The 12,388-nt window shown below is 39.5% G+C and overlaps 1 protein-coding gene across 15 annotated transcripts in view, besides 1 other annotated feature; it reads left to right on the top strand.

The window, feature by feature from the left end:
• Positions 1-12,388, top strand: part of JMJD1C (jumonji domain containing 1C) — a 354,666-nt gene that overhangs the window by 268,935 nt on the left and 73,343 nt on the right. The gene's annotated exons all lie outside the window — the stretch shown is intronic.
• Positions 11,694-12,230: an enhancer, noted in NCBI's record as "NANOG hESC enhancer chr10:65000486-65001022 (GRCh37/hg19 assembly coordinates)". NCBI's record gives its function as "activates a minimal SCP1, AML or CMV promoter by ChIP-STARR-seq in naive H9 embryonic stem cells {active_cell/tissue: H9 hESC(naive)}" and the evidence as "EXISTENCE:reporter gene assay evidence [ECO:0000049][PMID:30033119]".

Genomic DNA, 12,388 nt, shown 5'->3' with positions numbered 1-12,388 from the left:
GATCCTGTGATTGCTGAGCTATAACATATAGGCATTCATTTATTGCTGTGTGCCAGTCACTTTGCTCTAAATGTGAACTCAAAGACAGATAAAATACTTGATTCTCTTTCAGGTCATAAATATTACAGCAACATGCCAGAAGTTCTGAAATAGAGCTGTATGCATAGTATTTTGTAGTATAGAATCAGCTGATGGGGGAATATCTTATGGTTGCCTGTTTCTTTTTCTTTACTTCTCAGAAGACTAGGGTTCTGTAGTAGTGTTTCTCAGTAGAGTGCTGTATTAGGGTTCTCCTCATACAGTACCAGTATGGGATGTGGCAAGTGGGGTTGTATATATGTTTGTGTATAGAAATTGAGAAAGAGGAGATTTTTATTGATTGGCTCTTGGAATTGTGGGGACTAACAAGTCCAAATTCCACATGGTAGACCAGCAGGCTAGTAGTTCAGGCAAGACTTGCTGCTGCAGTCTTTGAGTCTGAAAGGCAGTATGAAGGCAGAATCCATTTTTCCTTGAGAGACCTTAGTCTTTTTTCTTAAGGCCTTCAACTGATTGGATTAAACCTATCCATGTGTTAGGGGTAATCTGCTTTACTCAGAGTCTGCTGGTTTAAATGGTAATCACATCTAAAAATACTTCCAGAGCAACATCTGGAATGATGTTTGACCAGACCACTAGGCAACATTTCCTAGTCAAGTTGACACTTAAAATTAACAGTCATGGCTGTTATTCATATTTGATTCTTAGTTTTGTCATGCATTTGTAGCATAGTAGGAATCTGTACCTCTGACTTAGCAAATAAAATGCCTTTGGCAAGTTCTCTCATTCATTAATGGATATCCCTGAGCCATTTCCCATCCCCTTTCAGCCTTTATTTAGAGCCATTGGGATAGGTATAGATTAAGACAATTGGGAAAGTGAGAGCCTTTATTTATTTTCTTTGAGACGGAGTCTTGCTCTGTCACCCCAGGCTGGAGTGCAGTGGCACGATCTTGTCTCAACTGCAGCCTCCACCTCCTGGGTTCAAACAATTCTTCTGCTTCAGCCTCCCGAGTAGTTGGGATTACAGGCACACTCCACCATGCCCAGCTAATTTTTGTATTTTTAGTAGAGGCGGGGTTTTACCATGTTGGCCAGGCTGGTCTTGAACTCCTGACCTTGTGATCCGCCCACCTCAGCCACCCAAGTGGAAGCCTTTAAAATAATCTTGCCAAGTTGACGAAGAAGTGGGCAACAGACAGCAAAGTATTTATGTGGCATACCAGGTGCTTTCAGCATCCTAAATATGAGAAAGTATAGTATCTGTCTTTCCTTTCTGAATGGTTATAATAGTTCTGCTTCCTCCTGAGTCTTTAGATACTATGGTGTTTTCTCCTGGCTGTCCACAATCTCCTTTCAGTCCAGTCTAATTCCAGATCAAATTCTTCTAATATCTTCTTCAGATTGCTTCACTCAAGTATTCTTAGCTGTCTAGACCTAGTTATTTAATAAAAGTTGTTAATTATAAATGAGGAATCTTTCACATTTGCACTTAAATAGGAATACTAATATATTCCAATGTATCTGTCAGTTGTGTAAAGTAATAAGGTATTTTTAAAATAAATGCAATGCATTTATTTTAGTAAAAAATCACAATAACAACAAAAATACCCAGTGCTTTTTCAGATGTTCTTTGCCTGAGAGTCCAGTACAATATATGGAACTAATTCCCAATTGACAGCCCTTTTCCCATTTGCCATTTATGGAATAGCCATTTTTGTAAATGTTGAATTCTGTATAACAAGGATGAATCAACAACACGATATATGAGATCTCTTTGTATATGTAAAGTCTTCAAGCCAAAAGGCCCAAAACATCCAGTATGTGGACTTGAAAAACGCAATACCTAGGCTAGTTGTGGTGGCTCATGCCTAGGCTGGTTATGGTGGCTTATGCTTGTAATCCTAGTGCTTTGGGAGGCTGAGACAGGAGGATCACTTGAGGCTAGGAGTTTGATATTAGCCTGGGCAACATAACGAGACCCTGTCTCTAAAAATAAAAATAAAAATTTAGCCACATGTGGTGCCATGCACCTGTAGTCCCAGCTACTTGGGAGGCTGAGGTGGGAGGATTGCTTGAGCCCAGGAGATCGAGGCTGCAGTGAGCTATGATTGTGCCACTGCACTCAAGCCAGGGTAACGGAGTGAGATACTCTCCCTTAAAAACAAAAATAAAAGCAAAAATACCATACCTAACCCACCTCCAAAGGATGAGTTTCTAACTGTTTCTCTCATCGCACATCCATATCGTTTTTCAAGGTCATTAAGTTCCATCACATATTAACAGTTCCTTCCAGTGTTTAACAAAACCTAGTGTTAAGAATTTTTCTTAATATTTATTGCATATATATCAGTCAGGAAATTTTACATCAGTTGGTAGCATCTGCTTGGCATGTTAGTGTTGGGAAGCATTGTGAGGCTCTACCCTGGCTAAGTAAGAGTGTGCAGTTAATTAGTGATACCCACTACCAGCACTATAAATGAGCGTTGAACTGCTGATTTGTTTTTATTAGTCTTGATCACTTCCAAGGTATCTTTTCCTCATCTTGTCTTGTCTATAAATATACGTACTTATCTGTATTTATATTTAAAAATTCTTTTGGCTTGGTGCAGTGGCTTAAGCCTATAATCCTACCACTTTAAGAGCCAAAGCAGGAGGATCACTTGAGGCCAAGAGTTCAAGACTAGCCTGGGCAACATAGCAAGACCCTGTTTCTACAAAAAAATAAAATCAGCCAGGCATGGCTAATTTTGGTGTGTGGCTGTAGTCTCAGCTACCTGGAAAACTGAGGCAGGAGGATCACTTGTGCCCCAGGAGTTGAAGGGGCTGTAGTGAGCTATGATTATGCGATTGCACACCAGCCTAGGTAACAGAGGGAAACCCTGTCTCTTAAAAAAAAAGAAAAATTATCAATACATAATAGATGTACATGTATTGGGGGGTACATGTGATAATTTAATACATTTATATAATTTCTAAAGATCAAATCATTGTAATTGGGATGTCCAACACCTTAAATATTTGTCTTGTCTTTTTCTTTTTTCTTTTTTTTTTTTTAAGATGGAGTCTCACTCTGTAGCCCAGGCTAGAATGCAGTGGTGCAATCTTGGCCCAGTGCGAACTCTGCCTCCCGGATTAAAGCGATTCTCCTGCCTCAGCCTCCCGAGTAGTTGGGACTACAGGCGCACGCCACCACGCCTGGCTAATTTTTGTATTTTTTAGTAGAGACGGGGTTTCACCTTATTGGACAGGCTGGTCTGGAACTCCTGACCTTGTGATCTGCCTGCCTTGGCCTCCCAAAGTGCTGGGATTACAGGCATGATCCACTGTGCCCGGCCCAATATTTATCTTTTCTTTATGCCATAAACAAATTATTCTCTTCCACCTATTTGGAAATACACAATAGATTGTTGTGCTGTATAGTCACCCTACTGATCTATAAACCATAGGTCTTATTTATTCTGTTGAATTGTATATTTATATCCATTAATCAAACTCTTTTCATCCTCCCTCCCCCAACCCTAACAGGTCTCTGGTAACCACCAATCTACTGTCTATCTTTAAGCATCTGCTTTTTGTTGTTGTTGTTTTGTTTTTTCTTGAGACGGAGTCTCACTGTGTCACCCAGGCTGAAGTGCAATGGTGCAACCTCACCTGACTGCAACCTCTGCCTCCCAGGTTCAAACGATTCTCCTGCCTCAGCCTTCTGAGTAGCTGGGATTACAGGCGCTTACCACCATGTCCAGCTAATTTTTGTATTTTTAGTAGAGACAGGGTTTTATCATGCTGGTCAGTCTGGTCTTGAACTCCTGACCTCAGGTGATCCACCCGCCTTGGCCTCCCAAAGTGCTGGGATTACAGGCGTGAGCCACCACTCCTGGCCAAGCATCCACTTGTTAACCTCCCACATATCAGTGACAACATGTGATCATTTGTCTTCCTGTCCTTCGCTTATTTCATTTAACGTAATAACCTCCACTTCCATCCATGTTGTGGCACATAACAAGTTTTCATTCTTTTTATGGCCAGGACAATATTCATTATGTACGTATACCACATTTCCTATATCATTCGTCCATTGATGAGCACTTAGGTGGAGTCCATATTTTGGCTATTGTGTATAGTGCTGCAGTAAACATAGAAATGCAGCTATCTCTTTGATATATTGATTTTATTTCTTTTGGATGTATATCCAGTAGTGGAACTGCTGGATCATAGTTATATTTTTAGTTTTCTGAGAAGTTTCCATGTTGTTTTTCACAATAACGCTACTAATTTACATTTCCACCAACAGCGTACAGGTTCCCCTTTTCCCACATATTCAACAGTGTCCATCATTATTCCCTGTCATTTATTTATTTATTTATTTATTTATTTATTTATTTATCTATCTATTGAGATGAGGTCTCATTCTGTTGCCCAGGCTGGAGTACAGTGGCACAATCTGAGCTCACTGCAACCTCTGCCTCCCGGATTCAAGTGATTCTCCTGCCTCGGCTTCCGGGGTAGCTGGGTTTACAGGCACCTGCCACCACGCCCAGCTAATTTTTGTATTTTTAGTAGAGACAGGGTTTCACCATGTTGGTTGCTTTTTCTTTGGGGTTTGAAAAACTTCCCTGTGTTAGCAACTTGACCACCATGTTGGTCAGGCTGGTCTCGATCTCCTGACCTTGTGATCCACCTGCCTCGGCCTCCCAAAGTGCTGGGATTACAGGTGTGAAACACCGTGCCTGGCCTTCTGCTAAATTTTTTAATAAAAATGTTTAATTGTGGTAAAATATACTGCTTCAGCGTCCTGAGTGGCTGGGATACAGGCGCCCGCCACCACACCCAGCTAATTTCTGTATTTTTAGTAGAGACAGGGTTTCACCATGTTGGCCAGGCTGGTCTCAGACTCCTGACCTTAAGTGATCCACTACCTCGGCTTCCCACAGTGCTAGGATTACAGTCATGAGCCACTGTACCAGGCCTATAGTTTCCTTTTTTTGTTGTGTCTGGGTAATACTGGCCTCAAGGAATGAGTTTGGAAGTATTCCCTCCTCTTCTTTGTTTGTTTTGTTTTGTTTTGTTTTGTTTTATGCATTTGAGTATGATTCATATAGAATTCAGTAGTAAAGTCATTAGATCCTGGACTTTTCTTTGGAAAAGAAATGGGAAAAGATGCAAGGTTTTTGTTTCTTTTTTTTTTTTTTTTTTTGGCTCTGTCACCCAGGCTGGTGTGCGGTGGCTCAGTCTTGGCTCACTGCAGTCTTCGCCTCTCTGGCCCAAGCAATTCTCCTGCCTCAACCTCCAAGTAGCTGGGACTACAGGCATGCACAACCATACATTTTGTATGTTTTGTAGAGGCAGGGTTTCACCATGTTGGCCAGGCTGGTCTTGAACTCCTGGGCTCAAGTGATCCACCTTCTTTGTCCTTTCAAAGTGTTGGGATTACAGGTTTGAGCCACCATGCCTGGCTGGGAGATTTTTAATTAAGGCTTTGATTCCATTATTTGTTACTGGTTTGTTGAGGTTTTCTTTTCTTTCCTGGTTCAATTTTGGTAGGTTGTGTGTCCATGAATTTATCCATTTTTCTGGGTTTTTCAATTTGTTAGCTTGTATAGTTGTTGATAGTAGTCTCTAATGAGTCTTTGTATTTCTGAGGTCTCAGCTATATCTTTTTTTTCCATTTCTAATTTATTTGGGTCTTCTCCTTTTTTTCCTCAGTCTAGCTAAATATTTATTGATTTTATCTATCTTTTCAAAATCCAGCTTTTCATTTTTTTAAAATTTTCTTCTGTTTTTTGTTTTTTTGTTTTTGTTTTTGTTTTTTTTGTCTCAGTTTATTTCCGTTCTCACTTTTATTATGTCCCTCTTACTACTAATTTTGGATTTAGTTTGTTCTTTTGTAGTTCCTTGGAGTGCATTGTTGCGTTGTATATTTGAAGTCTACTTTTTAAATATAGATGTTTATTGCTGTAAACTTTCCTCTTAGTATCGCTTTTGCCAAATCCCGTAGATTTTGTGTTTGGTTTTCATTTTTTTCAAGAAATTAAAAAAAATTTAATTAAGTTTCTTTATTGACCTATTCGTTGTTCAGGAGCATGTTGTTTAATTTCCATGTATTTGTGTGTTTTCAGAGGTTTCCCTTGCTACTGATTTCTAGGTTTATTCTGTTGTGGTCAGAAAAGACAGTTTGCCGTATGATTTTCGCTTTTTTGAATTTGTTGAGGCTTGTTTCATGGCATTGTATTGTCTGTGTATTTGATTTTACCAGTAGCTTTTATATTTTTAAATATTTTCTTTTTTGTACATTATTTGTTTTTCTTTCTGATTGAAGAACTTATATCTTACATTCCTGTAAGATGAGTCTGGTGGTGATAAATTCTCTCAGGTTTTGTTTCTTAGGAAAAAAAAATTCTCTCTCCATTTTATTTGAAGTATAGCTTTGCTAGAGACAGTATTCTTGCATGTCAGTGTTTTTGTTTTGTTTTGTTTTTTATTTTTATTTTCATCACTTTGAAAATGTTGTCGCCCTCCCTTCTTACCTGTATGATTTCCATTGAGAAGTCTGTTGGGAGCCAAATTGAATCTCTATGTTTTTACTTTTCTCATGCTTCTTTTAGGATCCTCTCTTCGTTTTTGACCTTTTGAGAGTCTGATTATTATATATGCCTTGGGGTAGTCTTATTTGGGTCACATCTGTTTGGTATGTCTGACCTTCCTTTACCTGGATTTTATCTCCTTCTCAAGTTTTGAAAAGTTTTCTGTTATTATTGCTTTCCACTTTCTGCTGTTTCTCCACTTCCTCTTAAATACCAATAATTCTTAGATTTGGTCTTTTTAGGTAATTTTGTATATGTCTTTTAGGTTATCTTCATTTCTTTTCATTGTTGTTTTTTTCTTCTCTGACAGGATTCTTAAATAGCCTATCTTTGAGCTCACTGATTCTTTCCTCTCTTCATTCTGTTGTTGAAAGTCTCTGATATGTTTGCATGTGTCCCCACCCAAATCTCATCTTGAATTGTAACTCCCACAGTTCCCACATGTCCTGGGAGGGTCCCAGTGGGAGGTGATTGAATCACTGGAGTGTGTCTGTTCTTGTGATAGTGAATAAGTCTCACGAGATCTGATGGCTTTAAAGAGAGGAGTTCCCGGCCGGGCTGGTGGCTCACGCCTGTAATCCCAGCACTTTGGGAGGCCAAGGCAGGAGGATCACCTGAGGTCAAGAGTTCGAGACCAGCCTGGCCAACATGGTGAAACCTCCTCTCTACTAAAAATACAAAAATTAGCCAGGCGTGGTGGCAGGTGCCTGTAATCCCAGCTACTTGGGAGGCTGAGGCAGGAGAATTGCTTGAACCTGGGAGGCAGAGATTGCAGTGAGCTGAGATCCCGCCACTGCAGTCCAGCCTGGGGGACAAGAGCAAGACTTCATCTCAAAAAAAAAAAAAAAAAAAAAGAGTTCCCCTGCAGAAGCTCCCTCTCTTTGCCTGCTGCTATCCATGTGAAACATGACTTGCTCCTCCTTGCCTTCTGCCATAATTGTGAGGCCTCCCTAGCCATGTGGAACTGTAAGTCTATTAAATCTTTTTCTTTTGTAAATTGCCCAGTCTGGGGTATATCTTTATCAGCCGTGTGAAAACAGACTAATAATACAGCCTCTAATGAAATATTTGGCTCAGAAAATATGTTTCTCAATTCTAAGGTTTTTATTTGGTTTTAAAAAATTGTTATTTCAATCTCTTTGTTAAATTTCTCTCATAATTTTTTTTAATCTCTCTTTTTTTTTTTTTTTTTTTTTTTTGAGACAGAGTCTCACTCTGTTGCCCAGGCTGGAGTGCAGTGGCACGATCTCTGCTCACTGCAAGCTCCACCTCTTGGGTTCAGGTTCTCATGCCTCAGCCTCCCGAATAGCTAGGATTACAGGCACCTGCCACCATGCCCAGCTACTTTTTGTATTTTTAGTAGAAGTGGGGTTTCACCATGTTGGTCAGGCTGGTCTCGAACTCCTGACCACAAGTGATCCGGCTGCCTTGGCCTCCCAAAGTGCTGGGATTACAGGCGTGAGCCACCGCACCCAGCCTTAATTTCTTTTAATTGTTCTCCCCCCTCCCCCCCCCTTTTTTTTTAAGAGAAGGAGTGTTGCTCTGTCACCCAGGGTGATGTGGAATGCAGTGGCGTGATTGTAGCTCACTGCAGCCTCAGTCTCTTGAGGACGATAGGTGCGCACCACCACCCCGGCTGATTTTGATAAATTTATGAATTGCTTTTCTGTGTTATCTTGGAGATCACTCTGTTTTCTTAAAACAGCTGTTTTGAATTTTTCATTTAAGAGTTCACACAGTGCCACCTTGTTAGGGTCAATCACTGTTTTCTTGCTTTATTTGGGTATGTCATGATTCCCTGTTTGCTGTTGTTTCTTTTGGATGTATGTCTATGTCTTTGCATTGAAGGATTGGTTATTCTAGACTTCTCTGACTGGCGTGTTTTGGCTTTAATTAGATATTTTTGCTTAGACTTTTTAAATAATTTACCTTTCTTGTTTTCCCCAGTAGTTTGCTGCCTCCTTTTCGGCACTAAATGACATCTTAAGCCCAGATTTGCCTTGGTTCTAGTAAACAGTCAGGAGTGCCAGGAGTCCCAAATTGCAGTGGTCCCAAAGTGGAGAATATCCTGGTAGTGCGAAGACTAGCTAGGGGTTTGTGCCTCGGGTACCTGTGGAACTAATCTCCACAGCATGGTGCTGCTGAACTGCCACTCTGATATGGCATCTCCTTTGTCTAATTTATGGAGCAGAGTTTCCAGGACTGGGGATGGTAGTCCTTCTCTGCTTCCTTTGTTTCTGGCTGTCCTCAGGGATATTTCTCCCTTTGGGTGTTCCTGATGCTTCCTGTCAGTTGAGGCAGGGATAGATCTCCTGCCAGAAAACCCCAGGTGGTAGGGAAGCTGGTTGTCCACCTTGATCTTACTTTTTCCAGTGTTGTAGAAACCATAAGTTGGTGGGAAAGTGTGGTCCTGGGCAGATTGCTGGGAGGGGCACTGCAGATAGAAAGTGAGATTCTCTCTCAAAATAAATAAATAGAAAGTCCAATTCTCTTATTATCTGCTTCTGGTTTTTTCACTTCTCTGTGGCCCCAGGACTGTCTCCCTCTCATATTTGAGGTCTGGGATGTTATTGGTGATAATCTCAGCATTGTGTATTTCTTTTTTGTTTTCTACTGAGGGGAGTGAACCCAAACATTGTCATTTTGGAACTGGAAGTCTGTACTTGTATTTTTTATCAATTTAATTTGGCTGGTGGTACAAGGTGGGTATTTCTGCCTTTGTACCAAGAACTTCGAGAACTGATTTATTGCTAATATTATTTAAAATCAGAAGTTGCTTACAAATTAGTGAAAAAAAATTTTTTTTGAGACAGAATTTTGCTCTTCTTGCCCATGCTGGAGTGCAATGGCGTGATCTCGGCTCAGCGCAACTTCCGCTTCCCAGGTTCAAGCGATTCTTCTGCCTCAGCCTCCCAAGTAGCTGGGATTACAGGCATGCACCACCATGCCTGGCTAATTTTGTATTTTTGGTAGAGATGGGGCTTCTCCATGTTGGTCAGGCTGGTCCCGAGCTCCCGACCTCAGGTGATACTCCCACCTCAGCCTCCCAAAGTGCTAGGATTACAGGCGTGAGCCACCACGCCTGGCCAAATTAATCAAATTTTAAGATATAGAGAGAACCAGAATCAGCTCACAACAATTGTAGAATAAGTTACTAAATTCTATTGAGATTTTGTTGAAAGATACCTATCTAGCCATATATATATTTATATATATATATATATATATAATTTATGTTAGTGTATTTTGGCTCTTTGAGAGAAGTCAAAGTTTACATCTGTTAAAAGTCTCAGAAATTGGCAATAGAACAACAGTCCATCTTGGACTCCATTCCCAATTTTGTTGCTTACTATCTGAAATGCTATGAAAGGCATATAACCACTTAACCACTTAAATTTTTATTTTTATCTATAAAATAGGTATGATATCATTGCCATTGTCTATGAGGTAATATATATGAAAACACTTTGTACTCTAAATTTTTTTTAATAAGGAGAATATATATGGTCAGAGTTAAGAAAATAAATAGGTCTGTTTGGGTAAATCTCAGTTTCTGTTCTGTGTGCTTTCAAGAGACTCATTAGAAAAGTAATCTGTTTTTGTTTTTGAGACAGAGTCTCGCTCTGTTGCCCAGGCTGGAGTGCAGTGGCGTGGTCTCGCTTCACTGCAACCTCCGCGTCCTGGGTTCAAGTGATTCTCCTGCCTCAGCCTTTCAAGTTGCTGGGACTGCAGGCATGTGCCACCATGCCCAGCTAATTTTTGTATTTTTAGAAGAGACAGGGTTTGTTTCACCATGTTGGCCAGGCTGGTGTCAGACTCCTGACCTCAGATGATCCACCCACCTTGGCCTCCCAAAGTGCTGGGATTACAGGTATGAGCCACTACGCCCGGCCTGCTTTTTTCATGTATCCTAAACCTGCTGTGTCCGTTATTGGTAGCTACTAGTCATATGTGGCTATTTAAACGTAAATTAAATAAAACTAAATTTTAAAAAAGTTCTTCAGTCGTGCAGGTCACATTTCAAGTGCCCAGATAATCGTATGTGGGACAGTGCATGTATATACCATTTATGCTGTAGAAAATTCTTCTCAACCACTTAGCCTCTAAATGCTGAATACTGCACAGAAAATGACATCCATGTATTTTGGTACCATTGTATTGTCTCCAGTATCACCCTAGCCCTTAGTATATCATTTGGCATTCTTTTCGCATGCCCCTGTGAACTTCTGTTTCCTAAAGTAATTATTCCAAATTATCACTACTTTACTCAGCTTCCTCCTTTTCTCTTAATAGATGATCTTTCTCCTGTTGCACAAAGGAAATTGAGGTTATAAGCAGGAACCCCGTTAGCTTCCTGTTCTCATATCTATTTTTGTACCTCTCCTTACCTGCTTTCCTCTTGTCTTAGAGATGTGTCTGTTTTAACTTCTACTACTTCAGTTTTACAAATATGTATTAGATACCTGCTACATCTCAGGTACTACTTTAGGTATTTAGGGTACAGCCATGAACAAAACAAAACAAAAATTTGTTGCCTCCTATAACTTACCTTCTTGTGGGAAAAGACAGATGGCAAACAAAATAACTGTTTAGCATATTAGAAGACAGTAGTACTATGGAGAAAAGTAAAGCCTGGAAAGTGACAGGAAGTGTCAGTTGTAACAGAAAATGGATAGGCCCTAAAGCAAGAAGATTGAAAAAATAACATACTATGTGAAAATTAGTAGAAAATGATGTAGAAAGGCTATAAGGGTAAATTAAATTGGGCTTTTTAGGCTATTATAAAGACTTTATTTTTTATTCTGATTAAGCTTGGAGTGAAAGCCTTTGAAGCATTTTGAGCAGAAAAGTAATATGATAAAACTTTTTCCCTTATATAAATAATTTTAAACCTATGTAGTTATAGAATAGTAAAATGTGCTTCCATGTAGCATGCAGCTTTAACAATTATCGATTTGTGGCCAGTATTGTTTCACTTTACTGCTCGTCTTCTGTCATAGATATTCCCCTATGTATGATAGTTTGACTTAGGACTTTTTGACTTCACAAGGGTGAAAAAGGAGCATTCAGTATGTTCCTGAGCTTTCAACTTAATATTTTCAGTTTAGGATGGGTTTATCTGGATGTAACCCCTTCATAAGTCGAGCATCCGTATTTCAAAGCAGATCCCACACACTGTATTATTTTGCCCCTAAATTTCTAAGTGTGTGTGTATGTGCATAAATTAAAACAGTCTAGCTCTATAGTCGAGTCTCATTCACAGTACTTATGTTTTATAATACCGCCACTTCTCAGCAACACCAGGAATGATAAGAGTATCATAGGCTTACTCATTTGCTTTGTCTTACATTATGTAACCACTAGACTTAGAATAACAATACTAAGGTTACCACCAATGGTATAATTGCTGAAAACAGTGTATTTTTTTGTTCCAGTTCTTTTTATCCTTAGGAGATATCCCGCTGGTCATATACTCAATTTATTGTGTTTTGTAGTCGTTTGGAATTGTTCCTCTCTCTGCCTTATGTTTTAAAAAGCTAATATCTTTTGTATTCTAGAACCTGTCTTCACAGATACTTTTCTAAGTTTACCAAATCTTAAGCCTATTTTTCTTTCATTGCTTTTCTTTTCATTATATAAACTCAACCCTCTAATATAAAAAACTAAAAGTTATCACACCCAGTCTGGTTATGGCCTTATCTTACTCCTTTCCTTCATAGCTGGACTTCTTATAATGTGAACCGTTATATCTATATTTTCTTGCT

The sequence above is a fragment of the Homo sapiens genome, chromosome 10 (genome assembly GCF_000001405.40).
Source record: "Homo sapiens chromosome 10, GRCh38.p14 Primary Assembly".
NCBI lineage: Eukaryota > Metazoa > Chordata > Mammalia > Primates > Hominidae > Homo > Homo sapiens.
Note: the sequence above shows the minus strand (reverse complement) of the source record. Positions and strands in the feature narration are given on the sequence as shown.